At 39.8% G+C, this 20,968-nt stretch overlaps 1 protein-coding gene across 8 annotated transcripts in view, besides 1 other annotated feature; it reads left to right on the forward strand.

The window, feature by feature from the left end:
* Nucleotides 1–20,968, forward strand: part of ZNF407 (zinc finger protein 407) — a 467,802-nt gene that overhangs the window by 20,681 nt on the left and 426,153 nt on the right. For 6 of the 8 annotated variants that reach the window (NM_017757.3, XM_017025838.3, XM_011526069.4 and 3 more), the window contains exon 2: nt 12,417–17,156. In NM_017757.3, coding sequence (NP_060227.2) covers nt 12,470–17,156 — 4,687 coding nt within the window. In that variant the 5' untranslated portion in view covers nt 12,417–12,469. Of the gene's footprint in view, nt 1–12,412; nt 17,157–20,968 lie in introns of those variants that run through there. The other 2 variants (NM_001146189.1, NM_001146190.1) reach the window with 1 other exon arrangement.
* Nucleotides 14,852–16,051: an enhancer, noted in NCBI's record as "MED14-independent group 3 enhancer chr18:72345358-72346557 (GRCh37/hg19 assembly coordinates)". NCBI's record gives its function as "activates an origin of replication core promoter dependent on BRD2, BRD4, P300/CBP and CDK7 cofactors, and independent of MED14, by STARR-seq in HCT116 cells {active_cell/tissue: HCT116}" and the evidence as "EXISTENCE:reporter gene assay evidence [ECO:0000049][PMID:35650434]".

Raw genomic sequence — 20,968 nt, forward strand, 5'->3', positions numbered from 1 at the left:
CATAAATGTATTTCCATCTAAGGGCTGGCTTTTTTTAAAAAACAAAAAATGAGGTAGTCATTATTCTCCATTGCTTCAATAACGTTTAGAGATGTTTTTTAAAGCTTCCCATTCAGTCACCTCTTCCCCGCAAAGTAATATATTTTGGAAAGTATAGAAAAGTGCCAAGAAGAGGAGGAAAAGATTACCTACAATTTCACCATGCAGAGGAAAAAAACTATTAACCTTATTATACAAATGGACTTGGATAGAACTATATCCATTAAAAAATGTAATACTTAAGTTTTTCTCTTTTCTAAATATACTTAAAACTCAGATCCTTGATACCTAATAATTTATGTTCCATATGTCTTGAGGCTTGATAGTTTTATATCATATGTTAGCTTATTGGCATATAGAATTACAGTGTTTCTCAGATTTTGTCCAAAATTAGTAGTTTTTGTCTTTTATCCCCTGCAGTTCTTTGATTAGTTGTCGTATTTCATCTCTTCTCATGGACCCAGTGAATCTAAGCAAGAACAGTGGTTTATTTTCCCCAGATTTACGTTTTGGAAGTACTATTTTTTTCCCTGTATTTCCTGGAACAAAACCCAAATCCATTATTAAGATACTTTTTTCTACTTTTTGAGTGTTCAACAACTCCTTAATATTGGAAAGATATTTTCTCATTGAACTGAGGAATCTTAGTCCCTAAAACTGTACAAACAAGGAAACCAAGGCTCAGCCAAGTTTTGTGAGTTGCCCTGTGTCCTACAGCTTATTGGTCCAGTTGGAATGAAAACCATGGCTTGCTTACTGAAGCTTAATGTTCTTTTTCAAAAGTGTTAAACATTTTCACTGTAAATTTATTATATGTTTCTTTAATTTTATTCTCCTAATTCTCTTTGCTTTCCTTGACATTCATATGTTATATGCTTTATCCTCTTGCCTTTTGAAAAAGATGAAAGGAAAATTTAAGGAACATATACTAACTTTTATCTTGGAATGCCTTTTTTATGGCTGCTTTATAAATTCTTGAAAATAAAGGGTCTAATGGAAAACTTAATGAGAAAGGAGGGGCTCTATCACATGTCACCTCCCCCACCTTTTTTAGTGAATAGACCGTTTAAACTAAATTAAGTAAAGGATATAAATTCTGTTGTTTCAGTTTTAATATTTCATGACTGATTTTATAGATGAAATTATATTTTACAATAAATAGGAAGAAGAATTTATACAGCCTGTTCTATTTGATGTGAAACAGCAAATCCCATTTCTCTGTAGCTGTAAAGAAAATTCATTATAATGTCTTTAGTTGTACGAGATGGTTTCATCGTGATTAGTTACATTGATAATAAAACAACCTTTTTCAAATGGCATAAGATACAAACGATCCTAGGTGTCTGCTTTTAATGGCATTGAATTTTTTCACTTTCTGCTTAACTCGTAGAATTGCCATTCCTTTCCTTTGTCCCCTTTTTTCTATCCCAATAATTAAAAAAAAAAAACCCAGACAATTAGATGGAAATGCCAATAAAGCATTGGTTTTAAAAATATTTTTTGAGTGGAGAATATATTACATTTTAGTTTTTTTATGTAAATATCTCTGACTACAAAAGATATATTTGTCAGAGATGGTTGATATAAGGTTGTCATACAGTTAATTTTATTACTGGATCAATTTAATATATTTGGAAAATAGTACTTGGAGTATAGGAAGGTTTTGAAAAAAGAAATTGCCAGGTGAGATGGCTGTGCTGATTTTGCAGGCCAAATTTGATTTGTTGTTTTATAAAGCTGTTAGTACATCTGCATGAAGAGTGCTGGCTGGGTGGAAGTCTTTGATAATGAAAGGAATGCTGGTCTCCCGTTCTGTTTTAGCCACTATGGCTTGATCCCTGTCAGGATGGACTTCTGGTGATTGTTTAGCTCTCATTTTGAGCATTAAGGAAATATTTTAATAACCCGCAGGCAAAATTGAATTGGATGTTTGAAATATAACATGTGTGTCCTCTGGAATAGAAACGATATTCTATTCCGACATGAGTGAGAATTTTACTATACTCTGACCACTTGGGCATGGGAGCACGTAGTTCTAGCCTGTTTGCCTTCCAGGTAGGTACCTTTGCAGTCTGCCTGGAGAAAGTTCTTTGTAGGGTCAGGCTACATGTGGCATGCAGGAAACTTTGGAGGTGGGACTTGCTCAGGTCCACATCCGATGACCAGAGGCCCCTAAGCTTGAAGGCCTCCTGCCAGGTGAAGGTGCTAGGCTTCTGTAGCATAAGTGGCCAGAGAACTGGGACTCATTCGGCTCCGATGACCTGTGGCTCTACGTGTGTGTACTGTGTAGGTTTGGGGTTATGGCTGTGAGAATTGTAGGCTGCTGAAATGTCTGAGCCAAGCTGGCAAGGAACACATGATCAGTTACCTCCGAGGCAGGCCCCTTGCTAAGTAGATTCTAGGGGTCTATTCAACGAATGCCTCCATCCAAAATGAGCGGATTTTTCAGGAAACGTTAAGATATTTCTCCATTTCCATATAAATCTAAATTTAAAACTCGCTCTACTGTATCTCTTTATTATTATTATTTTTTAATGTTTAATTTTGTGGGTACATAGCAGGTGTGTATATTTATGGGGTACATGAGATGTTTTGGTACAGGCAAGCAATGAGTAATAACTATATCATTTGTAAAATGGGGTATTCATCCCCTGAAGCAATAGGTAATTCCTTTAGGAGTTACCTATTGCTACATAACAAATTTGGCCAAAACATAGTTGCTTAAAGCAATAAGCATTTATCATCTCTCAGTGTCTGTGGATGAGGAATTGGAGGGTGGGCTTGCCTGGGTGCTTCTGGCTCCGGGTCTGTCCTGTGGCTGCAGGTAGGATGTTGTGGGGGTTGCTGTCCTCTGAAGGCTTACCTCAAGCTGGAGGATCTGCTACCGAGACAACTCACTGCCCTCTGGCTGTGGGCAGCAGCCCCCAGCTCCTCACTGGCTCTGAGTCGGAGGCCTCATTTCCTTCCCCCATGGGCCTCCCCACAGCTGCTTAAATGTCCCTGCTACATGGTACTGGCTTGCACTGGACAGAGTGACCCTAGGGGAGGGCATGCAGGAAGCACAGGGTCTCTTAGAACTTCGTCTCCAGCATGCAGCATCCTCACTTCCACTATTTTCTGTCCCTTACAAACAGCTCCGTACTCAAGAGGAGGGGAATTGGGCTCCATCCTTTAAAGGGAATGTCAAAAGAACTCATTTAAACCACCGAAGGCATTTTCCTGGGTAGGGAAATAAACAATTTTACAAACATGTAAATTAGGAATGCAAGGTAGCCTGGTCTCAGGACTGTGAGGACGTGGGTTTCCTGGACCCCAGTGTTTATGTGCTAGTCCTCTTGTGAGGAAGACAGACCCTATTACATCTACACGTGGTGAAATTGCCTCCACTGTTATCTAGTGAATGGTTTTTTAGGGTGTTGTATACTCTCTTCTCGTGGATGAGTTTGTACAACTTGCAGTTGTAAACCTTTTCATGGAAGAGTGTTTTTTTTTCCTTCATAGGATCAGATACTTGATTTTGTGGTCTTTGTTATGAATGGATGTTTCTGCCGGGAGGAGACTGGTGAGGAGAGGGTGGAGTGCAGCGCCCTTTAGTTACCCTCAGATTGTGCACATGGGGTTTCGTGACTACAACTAATACTAAGCTGCCTTTATGCATGGACTTGATGGCTCTATTAAATGAGGTAATACCATAAGGGCAAGACACATTTTCAACAGGAAGTCAGCTGACGTGACAGATGAAGAAAGAGATGCGAGTGGCCCCCTAGTTTCTATTGCCTCTTACCTTGCGCAGCCATTGCCCTTGCAGCTCGCAGGGGGCTTGTGGGCAGCCCTGCCTGTCCGGCCTTGCCCTGCGAGGAGCAGGGAATCCAGTTCTGCTGGAGGGCGGTCATCACTTCTGGATTCGTCCTTTTTTTTTGTACTCCCCAAAGAGAAAGAACAAAAGACCACTAGATGTTTTCATACACGCGTGTGTATGCACACCTGCCTTGTCACACGTACCCCTCAGTGAAGTTACTGTGGGCCTGGTGACAATGTCACACTGCCTGCATGACGAATTTGGGTGAATCTAGGAAGGGCGAAGGGTGTGATGGGGCTGGATGGGAGAGGATGGGTTCTTTATGGCATCACCATAGTGGTGTGTGTCTGTGAGTGTGTGTGTGAATGAATATTTGTGTGTGAGAGTGCGCGTGTCATTGTGTCTGTGTCTGAATTTGTGAATATGTCTGAATGTGAGTACGTGTGAGTGTGTATCTGAATGAGTGTGTGGGTGTGCAAATGCATGTGTGTCAGCCTACAAGTGCGTGTCTGTTTTAGTGTGTGAATGTCAGTATCTGTGAATGTGTGTGTATATATCTGTGTGTCAGTGTATCTGAGTGCGTGTGTCAGTGTGAATGTGAGTCCGTGTGTCTGTTAGTCTGAATGTGAGTTGGTGTGTGAGTGCATGTGTGTGTGAATGAGTGCATGTGAGTGAAGATATGTGTGTATCTGTATCAGTGTGTGAGTGCGTGTGTATCTGAGTGCGTGTCAGTGTGACTGTGTGTGTGTCCGTGTGAATGTGTGAGTGCGTGTGTGTGTACGTGTGAATGTGAATCCGTGTGTGTCTGTATGTCTGTGAATATGTGACTGCGTGTGTGAGTGCGGGTGTTAGTGTGTGTGCATGTGAGTGTGTGTGTGCATGAGTGTGAGACTGCGTGTTTGAGTGCAAGTGTGAGTGCGTGAGGGTAAGTGCATGTGTGAAACTGCATGTGTGAGTGTGAGTGCGCGTGTGCGTCTGTGACTTTGGGTGTGTGCACATGAGGGCGGCAGAGCGAGAGCTGCAGCTCGCTTCGTAGATACTCTTTAGGAGGGAGAAAGGCAGAGAGAGAAATGAGAGATTGAAATGAGTGAAAAGTGGAACAAAAGGATGAAAATGAAGGGAAAAATGTCATGCATGCCGCCCTAGCGTGTGAAATGGTTTCATTTGACTGAAATAATTGTTTCTCAAATTCTTCCCGAAATGCCTTCTTTGATATGCAGAAAGAAACGTCCTGTGAGAAGCGGCCAGCAGGTGTCATCAGAAGGCTGCGCTTGATTTATTATTGTTCTCAAAAAGTATTTTAATTTCTTTATTGAAACTTTTTTTTTTCTTTTAAATCATAGGCAGAGAACGATTTCAGTTTGAGCATGGACTTTGTTTTGTGACAGTTTCTGGGTGAATTAATAATTTATAGGTAGAAATGAAGATAATAAAGCTACATGGAGCTTATGTTGACAGTCAAGGAACAACTGCTTGAGTGTTTGGGTAAGATGGATACTTGGGGAATCTTGGTGGCACAGTGAAGAGATGTGTGGAAAGGGAATTGATGATTTGAATAGGAAACGTAATGCTTGAAGAAGACTGGGTTTAATAACACATCCATTATTTTAGTCTAGATACTTGCCAGGTCTTCTCAATCTTGAAACCTTACTGTGGGAAGAAATCTGAGGCTCATTCTACTTCTCCACTGGGTTACAAGCACTGGTACTTTGAGAGGGAAAGGAGATCACGCCTTCCTCTGAGAGCTGGCAGTCAGTGAGTCTTCTGCCTGTTTTCGCTTTGTTCCGGGGAGAGCCAGAGGGGCTTTCTGGTTCATGATAAGCTTTCAGTTCATGTTTGTTGAGTGAATGACATGAAATCTGCCTCAGAAAAATGAGGCCTTAAACTGTCCCAATTGGATGATTTTTGAATTCTTCTTTAAAAAAGACCCGTTCCGGCTCTGTTGGTAATATGCTACTTGTTCTAGTAACCTTTCCCAGTGAACTAAAAACAACTTTTACATCAGCATAAACTTTCTCACCTGCTGAATCCCTTCTAGATGGCTTTGAGATACCTATTAAACCACTCTGCATCCCTGCTTACTGATGTCATTCTAGTTCTGGACCGTATTACTTAAACTCTTACACTGAGCTCTTTCTGCCTTTAGATTGTCTCTGCCTTCAGTATGTCTTGCGTCTTGAAAAGTTAATCTTCCTAAAGCAGGGCTGTGTCTCAGTGACTCCCTACTGGCACCAATGAATAAAATCCAGCTCTTAATATGGAGCCTTCTGTGATCTGGACCTGGTCGACCAGCTGCCAGTTTTCTAAGTCAGTCTGTGGTAGAAAGCCAGTGCCGTGGCCCTCTGGATGGCTGAGAGCTTTCTTACGTGCTCGTGGTTTGTGTTTTAGGGCTTTGCCAGATCGCTGCCTTCTCCTTGAGATATTTAACTGTTCCTACTTGCCCCCTCAACAAACGACAAACAGTTTTAATTTCCTCAAGGTTAGGCTCAAATGATATTTTTGCTATCTGAGTTAAATATTCTGCTTGGGAGTATGATTCCTTGCTCACGTATACTCTGTAGATCTTAGTTTGCATTGTGCACATGATCATGTATGGCCTTGTATTGAGGTCCTTGGTGTGTATGTCATGTGGCCCCCACAGAATCTTACCCCAATGCATGAGTACATTTGTATGACTACAGTTCCTTTCATGTGGTAGCATTCAATATTTATTTGTTGAATGTTTGTTGTTATTTCTTGATATAGTGAGATATTGGGTTATTTCATTAATTTAGAAATTCAGTTGTGAAATAACAAATGTGGAAACTTTTTTCCTTTTGTTTTAGAATTCTTGGAGCCATTATTTAGAAGATTAAGGCTCTCATTATTTTGCTTCTTAGTTGTCATTCTTTTTGTCTGTAAAAATATGAGTCAGATGCCCTCAACAGAGTGTTCGCTCTAAGCAAATGTGTGTGTGTGTGTGTGTGTGCCTGTGTATGTGCGTACGTATGTATGTCTTCCCTAAGTAATGTGGTGGTGTGTGTTCCCTTTATGTATTTGGAAAGTGGAACTCCTGCTGGTGCCTAGTGAAAGGGACAGTCGTGCACTGCAGCAGTGTTTGCAGATGAAGACGTGGTAGACTGGGCATGGAAAGGGAGTTCCTGCTGTTTTAGACTAAGCATTAAAATGTTTTTAAGCAGAACTTCTGTTACAGATTTTTTAAACATTGTATCTATCTATATAGATATAGACATATACAAAAGTTGATAGAATAGTATAATGAATCCCCATGTGCTTGTCACTCAGCTTTAATCATTATCACATAACTTCACCATGCCCCTCTCCTGGACTATTTTAAAGTGTATTGCAGGCATTTTTAATTTCATCTGTAAATACTTAGATATTAGACATTTCTTATATCACAATAAGGCATTCATTCATTCTAGTACCTTACAAGTGCTTGGAACTGTTCTAGGCTCTTGGGATATATGGCTGGATAAAATAAATCATGTCTTTACAGTCTAGCGTGTAGAGACAGAAAATAAACTAGACACATAAATAACCATAACAGAAAAAGCATTGATTTCATCAGAATTTAAAACTTCTGTTTATCAAAGACACCATTAATCAAATGAGAAGGGAGGAAATGTTGGTTAAACACATATCTAACAAAGGATTTATATCCAGAATACGTAAGCAGTTCAATAATAAAACAACCAAATTAAGAAACAGCCAAAAGACTAACAAAGCACATTAAAAAGTATTCAGTGCCATCACTAGGCATCAGGGAAATGGAGATTAAAACCATACATACTAGAGTGACTAAAATTTAAAAGACTGATATCAAGTGTTGGTGAGGGTGTGGGCCAAACAGAATTCTTATACATAGCTGCTAGCAATGCAAAACAGTACAGGCACTTTGAAAATCAGTCAGGCAGTTTCTCATAAAGTTGGACGTCCATCTGCCCTATAACGCAGCAGTATCAATCATTGATATTTACACAAAAGAATGAAAAAATATGTTTTAAAAACACATGGATATTCTTGCTCAAGTATACTGCTGTAGATCTTAGTTTGTATTGTACACATGATCACGTATGGCCTTGTATTGAGGTCACTGGTGTGTATGTCATGTGACTCCCGCAGAATATTATCTCAGTGCACGAGTGTGTTGGTGTCACTACAGTTCCGTTCATTTGGTAGGTGCTCAGTACATATTTGTTGAACTAAGAATATTCATAGCAGCTTTCTTGTAATAGCAACAAAAGGAAACAGCCCTAATGTCTATCAGCAGAATTGTGGTGTATCTATTCAGTATACTACAACCCAGCAGTGCAATGGAACATGCTACTCACACATGCAGTAAAAGCGTCAGGCTGAGCCCAGGAGGCCAGACCTCCCTTCCCCCACAGAGCATATTGCATGGCTCCATTTTACTAGACCAGGCAAAACTAAACTATCGTGGAAGAATTCTGAATAGTGGTTGCTGTGGTGGAGGGACCAGCTGCGAAGGTGCATGAGGCATCTTGCTGGTAGGATGGCAGGGCTGTATCCTGATAGGGATTCCTGGGACGTCACCTCTGCAGATCTCTGGGCCTCTTTTTCTCTCCACTTTTCTCCTCTCCTTTGTTTTATCCTCAACTTATAATGCCCCTCCTTGTGCTATGGCCTTCGTACTTTCTTAGGCAGAAAGCCGGACTCACCTAGTGTGTTCATCTCAGGAATCGCTGTCCTTTGGTGTCTGATGTCGACTGTCTTGCACTGTTGCTTCGTAGGTTTCATTTACTTTTTTTCAGTTGTTTCAAACATGAGAGTAAATCCAGTCCCTGTGATCTTGACCAGAAGCAGCTGCCCTGGGTTGGACAATGTATCTGTTTTAAGCAATGTATTGTCTCGATGTCTCATCTCTTACAGTGTAAGCTCTCACAGGACTAAGATTTTGGGTGGTGTTTGCTGTATATCCAGCATCTACAGGCAAGAATACTTGATATACTGTAGGCACTAAGTGAAGGTTTTGAAATGGGTGCATGATTCTTTCTTTCTTCCTTTCCTCCCTTTACTCTTCAATTGCAAATGTTGAATAGCAAACCAATGCTTTATAGAAAAGAGCATTTCTGTCCCCCTCCCCTGCTCTTCTTTTTTGGTTAGAGATAGGGTTTCACCATGTTGCCCAGGCTGGTCTCCAACTCCCAGGCTCAAGTGGTCTGCCCACCTTGGCCTTCCAAAGTGCTGAGATTACAGCCATGAGCCACTGTGCCCAGCCAGAAGAGCATTTCCTAAGGATCCTTTGCAATACCAGTCTCTTGATTCTTTATAAACAAAGCGTTCTGTAATCAAATAAGGTTGGAAAGAGCTTGTGTACCGAGAAATCCTGTGGTAAAGAAATGTTTGTTTGTTCAGTTTTCTCTCTTTCTCTCTCTCTCTCTCTTTCTCTCTTTCTCTCTTTCTGCCCTGCCCTGCCCTGCCCCGCCCCACCCCGCCCCGCCCCGCCCCGCCCCTTTTCTCTTCTCTTTCCTTTCTTTTTCGAGACAGGGTCTCACTCTGTTGCCCAGGCTGGAACGCAGTGGTTCAGTCGTAGCTCACTGCAGCCTCAAACTCGGAGGCTCAAGCGATTTTCCCACCTCAGACTCCTGTGTAGCTGGGACTACAGGTTCACACCACCACAGCTGGCTAACAAACTAGAGGTTTCTAAACTTATTTGACCAGAGATGTTTTTTCACTTAAAACAGCTACTCTTATATAATTTATATTTTCTGGAACCTATTCTGAAGGAATGTATCTGAACTAATGTTGAATGTCTTATAAATGCAATAAAACTAGATAAATTTATCTTTTTACTCATTTTCAAATACTTTTATATTATACATAATATATGACAATTTATATATTTTAAACAGCTTTATTGAGATATTTGCAGTTCAGTGGATTTTAGTATTATATTCATGGATGTGTGCAACTATCACCACAGTTCATTTTAAAACACTGTTATCACCTCAGAAAGAAACCTCTTACCCTTTAGCTATCATTCTCCATTCTGCCTGCCTACCCGCAGCCCTGAGAAACCAAGGGCTGCCTATTTTTCTGTCTGTATAGATTTCTCTATTCTAGACATTTCATATAAAAAGGAACCATATAGTACATGGTCTTCACTTGGCATAATGTTTCTAAGGGCCATCCACATTGTGGCATGTTAGTACTTCATTTTTAATTTTATTTTTATTTATTATATTTTCAGAGACAAGGTCTCTGTCTCTGTCTCCCAGGCTGGAGTGCAGTGGTGTGATCGTAGCTCAGTGCAGCCTTGAACTCCTGGACTCAAGCAATCCTCTTGCTTCAGCTCCGGAGTTAGGACCACAGGCACTTGGCACTAATTTTTATTATTTTTTTATTTTTTTAGAGCTGGGGTCTTGCTGTGTTGCCCAGGCTGGTGTCGAACTACTGCACCCAAGCCATCCTCCCTCCTTGTCCTTCAAAAGCATTGGGATTGTAGGCATGAGCTACCGTGCCTGGCCGATACTTCATTCTTTTTTATGACTGAATACTATTTCATTGTGTGGATACCGCATTTTCTTGATTCATTCATCCATTGACAAACATTTGGGTTGTTTCCACCTTTTGGCTGTTATGAATAAGTACTGCAGTCAGCATTTGCATACAAGTTTTTGGGTGGATATATGTTTTTGCTTCTCTTGGTTGTGTATACCTCCAAGTAGAATTACTGTGCTATATGCTAGCACCATGTTTAATTGTTTAAAGAACTGGTAGACTGTTTTCCAAAGTGGCTGCACCATTTTACATTCCCCTTAGTAGTGTTATGAGGGTTCCAGTTTTTCCACATTCTTGCCAACGCTTGTTATCTGATTTTTTGAGTATAGCTATCTTAGTGGGTTTGAAATGGTATCTCCTTGTGGGTTTGATTTGCATTTCTTTAGTGACTACTGATGTAGAGTATCTTTTCATATGTGTATTATGTATATTTTCTATGAAGAAATGTATTTCATATTCTGTGCTCATTTTAAATTGATTTATCTTACTATTGAGAATAAAAGTTTTAAAAATATATTTTAGATGCAAGTCCCTTATCAGATATCTGATTTGCAAAAATGTGTTCCCATTCTGTGGGCTCTGTTTTCACTTTCTTGATAGTGGCTTTTGAAGCATAGTGTCTTTTGAAGTTTTTAATTTTGATGAAGTCCAATTTACTTGTTTTTTTCTCGTATTGTTCGCGCTTCCAGTGTCCTGCATTATAAGCATATTTTTGTTGCCTGATTTTAGCTGAGTCAAAGCAATAGGCTCCATTTGATTTGTCAACGTTATGGAAAAAATAGCTAAAATAGTTTAAAATAGTTGTCATTAGCCTTGAGACTATAATACGTTGATGCCTTTTTATTAACGTGGAATCAAGTGGCATTTGGCTGAACATTCCCATCATGGTGTAAAGTAAATGGAAAATGATATGTTTTAATTGAATTAAATAGCATAATGAAAAATAAAATCAATATTATTGATTTCAAGGCATTTTATTCAATAAAATTCTTTTTTTTCTCAAAATTTACTCCATTAATTCTACTCTACCACTGACATTTCCCTTTGCCATTAACCTTCAGACAATATAAAATGACAATTAGATGAGGAAATTAATGATTGACAGCTGGACTAGAAGTGGCTTTTCATTGGTAAAAGAGCTTGAGCACGAATGGTGATATGTAATGAGATTATACGTGTTGTTCATTGGAATATATTTAGAAAAATCATGGTAAAGCTCTTTGCTTTAGGAGAAAAGGATGAAACAGTGGTGTCTTTTTTTTTTTTTTTTTTTTTGAGACGGAGTCTCGCTCTGTCGCCCAGGCTGGGGTGCAGTGGTGCAATCTCGGCTCACTGCAAGCTCCGCCTCCCGGGTTCACGCCATTCTCCTGCCTCAGCCTACCGAGTAGCTGGGACTACAGGCGCCTGCCACCATACCTGGCTAATTTTTTTGTATTTTTAGTAGCGACAGGGTTTCACTGTGTTAGCCAGGATGGTCTCGATCTCCTGACCTCGTGATCCGCCTGCCTCGGCCTCCCAAAATCCTGGCACTACAGGTGTGAGCCACCACGCCTGGCCGAAACAGTTGTTTTAAAATTATGTTTCTTTTACATAGGACTTGGGCTTCTGTTAGAGGTTAAGGAGGGGAAGGCCTCACTTCTAGACTTGCATCACAGCAGTTTTGTTTTAATATATTTTACAGAGTAGGAGCTCATTGAAATGTTTTTTGAAAGGAGAGCTTCTCTTTTTGTTTTTTTTTTAAAAGGGTAGTAAATTGAAGTATGCTGGTACAGAGAATTGAAATATGGGAGTTTTTCTGCAAGCTTGTTGAGAAATCACTTTTTCTACCAAAGATACCATAGTATTTCTTCTGGAGTCAACAATAGGGTGACATGGTGTTCCTAAAATCCTACTTCATACTTTTTGATAAAAGACTTTAGACATGTAATCAAATTCATCTCAGTATAAAGGGTGTTTCATTGGGGCTAACTTCATGATACTTTTTCATCTAGTTTTAGACTAATACGTGTGTCTTTATATTCAAGATTTAATACCATGTTTGTTTACTTCACAGGTTATGAGTGCCAGTGAGCCGCCTTAGATAGAAGCATCGTCAGCACTTTATTAATGATGGATAGTGAGAATAAACCCGAAAATGATGAGGATGAAAAGATAAACAAAGAAGCACAAGACTTGACAAAGCTTTCATCCCATAATGAAGACGGTGGGCCTGTATCTGATGTGATAGCAAGTTTCCCTGAGAATTCTATGGGCAAAAGAGGTTTTTCAGAATCATCGAACTCTGATAGTGTTGTTATAGGAGAAGACAGAAATAAACATGCTTCCAAACGCAGGAAATTAGATGAGGCAGAGCCCCTTAAATCTGGAAAGCAAGGTATTTGTAGATTAGAAACTTCTGAGAGCTCAGTCACAGAAGGGGGTATTGCATTAGATGAAACAGGGAAGGAGACCTTTCTGAGTGACTGCACAGTTGGAGGCACATGTCTCCCAAATGCCCTCTCCCCTTCTTGCAATTTTAGCACTATTGATGTTGTTTCTCTGAAAACAGACACTGAAAAAACATCTGCTCAGGAAATGGTTTCCCTTGATCTGGAAAGAGAATCTCCTTTCCCCCCGAAAGAAATTAGTGTTAGTTGTACCATTGGGAATGTAGATACAGTTCTCAAATGCAGCATCTGTGGGCATTTGTTTTCTTCTTGCTCTGACTTGGAAAAACATGCTGAGTCTCACATGCAGCAGCCTAAGGAACATACCTGTTGTCACTGCAGCCACAAAGCAGAGAGCAGCTCAGCACTACATATGCATATCAAACAAGCACATGGGCCACAGAAGGTCTTTTCCTGTGATCTTTGTGGTTTTCAGTGTTCAGAAGAAAACTTGTTGAATGCACATTATCTTGGCAAAACACATCTCCGTCGTCAGAATCTGGCTGCTCGTGGAGGATTTGTACAGATCTTAACAAAACAACCTTTTCCTAAAAAATCACGTACAATGGCAACAAAAAATGTTCACTCAAAACCAAGAACTTCTAAATCAATAGCAAAGAATAGTGATTCAAAAGGATTACGAAATGTGGGAAGCACGTTTAAAGATTTCAGAGGAAGTATTTCTAAACAAAGTGGTAGTAGCAGTGAGCTTCTTGTTGAAATGATGCCTTCCAGAAATACTTTGTCACAGGAAGTAGAGATTGTTGAAGAACATGTTACTTCCCTTGGTCTAGCTCAGAATCCTGAAAACCAGAGTAGAAAGCTAGACACCTTAGTAACCTCAGAGGGTCTCTTAGAGAAATTGGAATCTACAAAAAATACCCTTCAGGCAGCACACGGTAACAGTGTAACCTCGAGGCCAAGACCTGAGCGAAATATTCTCGTGTTGGGTAATAGCTTTCGTCGACGAAGCAGCACTTTCACCTTGAAGGGCCAGGCAAAGAAAAGGTTTAATCTTTTAGGAATTAAAAGAGGTACAAGTGAAACTCAGAGGATGTATATGAAACACTTGAGAACACAGATGAAAACACACGATGCAGAATCAGTGCTGAAACACCTGGAAGCGTGCAGCAGTGTGCAGAGAGTGTGTGTGACTACCTCAGAAACCCAGGAGGCAGAGCAGGGCCAGGGGAGTGCCCGTCCTCCGGACTCCGGGCTGCATTCCCTGACAGTGAAGCCAGCTTCTGGCTCTCAGACGTTGTGTGCTTGTACAGACTGTGGGCAAGTAGCTACAAATAGGACAGATTTGGAAATCCATGTGAAAAGGTGCCATGCCAGAGAGATGAAATTTTACTGCCGTACTTGTGACTTCTCTAGTATGTCAAGAAGGGACTTAGATGAACATTTGCACAGTAACCAGCATCAGCAAACTGCTTCTGTCCTGAGTTGTCAGTGTTGTTCATTTATATCCTTGGATGAAATAAATCTTAGAGACCACATGAAGGAAAAGCACAATATGCATTTTCTTTGCACCCCTTGTAATCTGTTCTTTTTGTCTGAAAAAGATGTGGAAGAACACAAAGCCACCGAGAAGCATATTAATTCATTGGTTCAACCAAAGACTTTGCAATCATCTAACAGTGATTTGGTTTTACAGACTTTACCTTTGAGTACTTTAGAATCAGAAAACGCAAAAGAGTCTATGGATGACTCAGGAAAAGCATCTCAGGAAGAACCTCTGAAGTCCAGGGTAAGCCATGGTAATGAAGTGAGGCATTCCAGTAAGCCTCAGTTTCAGTGTAAGAAGTGTTTTTATAAAACAAGATCTTCTACTGTTCTCACGAGACATATAAAGCTTCGGCATGGTCAAGACTATCATTTTCTTTGTAAAGCTTGTAATCTTTATTCATTGAGCAAAGAAGGAATGGAGAAACACATTAAAAGAAGCAAGCATCTTGAAAATGCTAAGAAAAATAATATTGGCTTAAGCTTTGAAGAATGTATTGAAAGGGTATGTATAGGTGCAAATGATAAAAAAGAAGAGTTTGATGTTTCCGGAAATGGAAGGATTGAAGGCCATATAGGTGTGCAATTACAAGAGCATTCCTATCTTGAGAAGGGCATGCTGGCGTCTGAGGAACTGTCACAGTCTGGTGGTAGCACCAAAGATGATGAATTAGCTTCAACCACTACTCCAAAGAGAGGGAGACCTAAAGGTAACATCTCACGGACGTGTTCACACTGTGGCCTTTTGGCCTCTAGTATTACAAACTTGACTGTTCACATTAGACGAAAACACAGTCACCAGTATAGTTATTTATGCAAAGTGTGTAAGTATTACACTGTAACTAAGGGAGATATGGAACGTCATTGTGCCACCAAGAAACATAAAGGACGGGTAGAAATAGAAGCAAGTGGAAAACACAGTTCAGATATCATTGTTGGCCCTGAAGGGGGTAGCCTTGAAGCTGGTAAAAAGAATGCTGGCTCAGCAGTGACCATGTCAGATGAACATGCTAACAAACCAGCTGAGTCACCCACCTCCGTTTTAGAGAAGCCAGATCGTGGAAACTCAATTGAAGCTGAAGTTGAAAATGTATTTCATTCTCTAGATGGAGAAGTTAACAGCCATCTTCTTGATAAAAAGGAGCAAATATCTTCAGAGCCAGAGGACTTCGCCCAGCCGGGGGATGTGTACTCCCAGAGAGATGTTACAGGCACAGGTGAGAATAAGTGTTTGCACTGTGAGTTTAGTGCTCACTCCTCTGCTTCTCTAGAGCTGCATGTAAAACGGAAACATACAAAAGAGTTTGAGTTTTATTGCATGGCATGCGATTACTACGCGGTGACTCGTCGCGAGATGACCAGGCATGCAGCAACAGAGAAGCACAAAATGAAAAGGCAGTCTTATCTCAACTCTGCTAATGTAGAAGCTGGTTCTGCAGACATGTCCAAAAACATCATTATGCCTGAAGAAGAGCATCAACAAAATTCTGAGGAATTTCAAATAATTTCAGGTCAACCATCTGATACTCTTAAATCTAGAAATGCTGCAGATTGCTCTATTTTAAATGAGAATACTAATTTAGATATGTCTAAAGTGCTCTGCGCTGCTGACTCTGTAGAAGTTGAGACTGAAGAAGAATCTAATTTCAATGAAGACCATTCCTTTTGTGAGACTTTCCAACAGGCTCCTGTCAAGGATAAAGTTAGGAAACCTGAGGAGATGATGTCACTTACTATGTCCTCAAACTATGGCTCCCCAAGCAGATTTCAAAATGAAAATTCAGGAAGCTCTGCCTTAAATTGTGAGACAGCAAAGAAAAACCATGAGATATCGAATGATGCAGGTGAGCTGCGTGTCCATTGTGAGGGTGAAGGAGGAAACGCAGGAGACGGTGGAGGTGTTGTCCCCCACAGACACCTGTGCCCTGTGACGCTCGATGGGGAGCGCTCGGCTGAAAGCCCTGTGCTCGTTGTGACAAGAATAACCAGAGAACAGGGAAATCTGGAGAGCGGGGGTCAGAACAGAGTTGCACGTGGGCATGGTTTGGAAGACTTGAAAGGTGTCCAAGAAGATCCCGTTCTGGGGAATAAGGAAATTCTGATGAATTCACAACATGAAACAGAATTTATTTTGGAGGAGGATGGCCCAGCTTCTGATAGCACAGTTGAAAGTAGTGATGTCTATGAAACTATAATTAGTATTGATGATAAAGGGCAGGCCATGTACAGTTTTGGTCGATTTGACTCCTCCATAATAAGAATAAAGAACCCTGAAGATGGTGAGTTGATAGACCAGTCTGAAGAGGGCTTGATAGCAACGGGAGTGAGAATTAGTGAGCTGCCCTTGAAAGACTGTGCTCAAGGTGTGAAAAAGAAGAAATCTGAGGGCAGTTCCATTGGTGAGTCTACACGAATTCGCTGTGATGATTGTGGCTTCTTAGCAGATGGACTGAGTGGACTGAATGTTCACATAGCCATGAAGCATCCTACAAAAGAGAAGCACTTCCATTGTTTACTCTGTGGAAAGTCGTTCTATACCGAAAGCAACCTTCACCAGCATCTGGCTAGTGCCGGCCACATGAGAAATGAGCAGGCCAGTGTGGAGGAGCTTCCGGAGGGAGGGGCCACCTTTAAATGTGTCAAGTGCACAGAGCCCTTTGATTCTGAACAGAATTTATTTTTACATATTAAAGGACAGCATGAGGAATTGCTGCGGGAGGTGAATAAGTATATAGTGGAAGACACTGAGCAAATCAACCGCGAGAGGGAGGAAAACCAGGGAAACGTCTGCAAGTATTGTGGGAAGATGTGTCGAAGCAGCAACTCGATGGCCTTCCTGGCACACATTCGCACTCACACAGGTATGTAGCTCTGCAGCAAGCCAAGTCAGTGAGGACATGGGGCCATTTGTTCCCATCCAGATATGCAGCCCTACCTGTGGCTGCTCATTGGCTTTCCACCCGGTTCACATTTCACTGCCGTGTGCTGCTCTGCTTGTCTGCAATAAGTCATTGTTGACACTTAACATTTTTAAGGGTAATTAAGCCCTAGTGATTTCAAAGGCAGGTTAGCTGACAAGTTTCTTTTAATTTTGTCAAAAAGCCTAGTCCCTCTGATGCCTTTTAAAAACTGCTGTCTGTTGGCGGCTTTTCAGTTGTTTCTGAGTCCTAATTATTTGATTTTCCAAAGTCTGTATTAAGTGGCACCTTATAATTTCAGAAGACATGTTAAGTGACTTTTAAGGAATGGAGTAATCAAATTTTCTTACAATATCAGGGATGTAAAAATATTCATCATTAGATATTTTATATCCAAAAGTGTAACTTCCGGGTAACAAGATTCTACCTTTGTGGATCAAAATTAGTCACCACTTTCCAAAGTTAACATGTGCTGGGGATCTGGTGTTCCTGGAGGTAGCACCTGATTTAGTCTCTGTGCTCTGTCACAGTTAGTGTTCCATTTTAATGTTTAATTTTAGGTGGAAAGTTTTTAAAAAAACATTTTTTTTTGGTGGAAAATGCATAAGCTACTGTTCTAAATTTATGTAAAAATTCACTGCACTGTTTCTGTAAACCTGCCATACATTCTTTATTTTAAATAGACAGCTTTTCTAAATCATTGTGCTCCGCTTAGACAAGTTCTGTCTCCATGGTTGAATTTATGAGTGGATTTGAATAATAAATTCACATTTCAGTGAACATATTTTCATTAAAACTGTAAGGTTTATTTTACTGTACTTTTAAATAATGGCTTATTATTAAAGCTATACTTTAAATTCATACAGTTTTTGAAACTTAGTGCATGGTTACGAGGAAGAAGACAGAAGAGTGTGAAGCATTATTACTAGTTTAGGGTGATTAAAGATAGATAAAAGTTTTTCACTGAAGGAAGTAATGGGGCAACCTGCATAAGATTAATGTAAATAAATACAAACATTGTACTTGTGATCCCAAATATTCCTATGCACTGCAGCCATTTTTGGGGAATAAGTCCAAATGCTTATTTGTCTGCACTGTCAGTATCTCTCTCAGTGCCTTGTTGCAGCTTTCTTTCTGAAACGATACAGTTTTAGGAATAAGACTTGTTCACATGCGCAGAAAATATGTACTTTCTTAATATGCCCTCTTAAGGCAGATAAAACTGAATAAAACTAAGAGGAAGATGCTAATGGAGCTCTTTTTAGAATTCTTTATGCAACTGTCTGGTCAAGACATGTTGCTTATAATTGATGTGTCCATTACTTGAATTCTCTTGTAATTATAGTCAATAAGTCTTGTAAATGTGTTAAAGCTCACTAAAAGCATACAAATTCAAGAACAGAGTAAGGCTAATAATTTAAAATAATCAATGTAGGCATTTCAGCACTTAATTTCCCTTGTGTGTTGATAGCTGATCATTCTTAATCCATTAAGATTTATTTAGTCGTTTACAATGCAAAATAGGTTTGCACTGGTCACTTGTGCCATTTGAAAATGTCCACCAGGTTAAGTGCAGAATGTAGTCCATTAGTCTTCCTTGACTATATGTATTAATTGCATTTAAAATCAAGTTAATGTGGATGTGAAAGTGAGGTAACTATCAATATGTGACAAAGTAACCCTACTTATATAAGTTACATCATTGATTGTAACATTTAGTAAAAGTTAGCATAGTTTTTTTTTTTTTAAACATCTTGTGTTGGTCTTATCAGGAAGTACATTTTTATTGTGCTTTGAAACACTACCAAGAGCCCTGTTCCTGAGGACACAATACGAGTCTACCATTTCAATTTTGCAAGTCATTTTTTGGGGAAGTTGGTCTCCAGGTTTTAATTCAGGGTTTTTTTCTTGGAGCATCTTAAAATGAATTGCTTTTCACATACTTTGCTTATGTCCATAAAATAGTAATGCAGAGACTGTTATTAATGGTTAACTGGAAAAGAGCTTACTCTTCCAATCCCTGTTTTCATATTTTGTGATTTACTATATGTTTTATATAACCTTTGCTTCCCATCCTTAGCAGGATAAAAGCAGCACTATAAGAAATAAATGAGTTTTGGTTATCAAGCATCGTAGGAAAAAGGATCCTAGAGTCTCCCCGTGTGCATGCTACTACGAAGTAATCAACATGACCAGAAAGGGCAGTCTTCCCTTTCACATTACATTAGCAGGACTAAAAAACTTCGTTTTCATTTCTCCCGCATTGGTCTGTCAAAGCTTTTATTTCATGTAACATGGGCTGTTGTTAAGTACCAGATTGTCTGAAGCCATTCGTTTTATGTTTAGAGTGCTCTGGTCACTAATGCCATCTCAAAATGTTCCAGGGAGATACGGAGTGTGTGACTTCACTAAGAAATTCTGAAGTTAGGGCTGGTAGTGTTTGTAGCTCAATACGTGACAAAGGACAGACAGCTCAGTAGGAGAGTTAATCTGTAGACTTTAAGCACAGTGACCACAAAGGCTTAACATTGTTCACTGCTTCATCTGTGTCCCACATTAGTTGGCTCTTGGTATATCTTGATGAGTGAATAAATGAACGAGCAGATGAATGAATGAATGAATGAATGAAGTGTTTGAATGTTTAGGGAGGATTGTAGAATGATGGCTCTAGTGGTTAGATGTTGGGTAATATACAACTTCCTTCATTCCTTTAAGATCTAAGGGCTTTCATTTGGTATTTTCTCTTTAATGCTAATGGCACATCTGTGTATGCATAGCAATAGTCATGACTGATGGTTGAGGAGCCCTCGTAGGCCTGAGTGAAGACCTGGATTTTAAAGTCTTTGAAATTCTTTCGGTAAAGTAATAAGGTACCACAAAGATAGAGAGCCTCTTTAGTTTTTCCCTTTGAAAAAACCTTATGGACCAAATGAAAACCAAAAAACCTACTGAGGATAATGCTGTTCCAAGGAATGGAACTGTTGCAAATAATATTGTTTTTAATAATCAAAATGTACCTGAGAGAAATATTTAGAGATCTGCAATTTTACAATTTTGTCTTATAAACACTGTGCCTGCATTCATTTCGGAAAGTACATAGCAAACTTAAAAACAGAAATGTTATTAGTTAGGAAACAAGGAAAAAAGGGCCCTTTTTTTTTCTTTAATGCGGAGAAGTATTACCTCTGCTAGTATTTGAATTTTTATGGCACAGAAAGGAGATGTTAACACAGTCTACTCTGAATATAAGATGTGAAGAATAGTCAAGGCCTCCATGATTCTGGGTGAAGCAGTCAACAAAATAACTCATTTATGTATTGTCAGCATGCTGTGCTGTGATCACTGAGACCTGCAGAAACTAGAGTTTTCCACAAAGGAGCCATGGACAGTAAATTGAACACACCAGAGACCCCACGTCCCTTTCTCTGTGGCATCTGTGCCACAGGAGGAGGAGCTAGTCACATGGCAGGTGCTGTGTGAGCAAAATGAAAACTCAAACCCATGAGACCTTTTACATCCATTCACCAAAATTGTAATACAAATATTGGGAGAGGTTGATCTTCTTTGTTTCGAGTCCTGATATTATTGTTACTTAATAATGTCCTAATTACCCTATTATCTTTGGAGCATTGAAATTTAAAGTGTTGGTAAATTGGTTCTTCACACACCTTACAAAAGTCCCATTATAGAATTCTATGTCTTAGTGAAATGTTCAAAGTAGTGATAGGCTTGGTTTTATCAGAATCATTTAAATA

This window comes from Homo sapiens, chromosome 18, assembly GCF_000001405.40.
Source record: "Homo sapiens chromosome 18, GRCh38.p14 Primary Assembly".
NCBI lineage: Eukaryota > Metazoa > Chordata > Mammalia > Primates > Hominidae > Homo > Homo sapiens.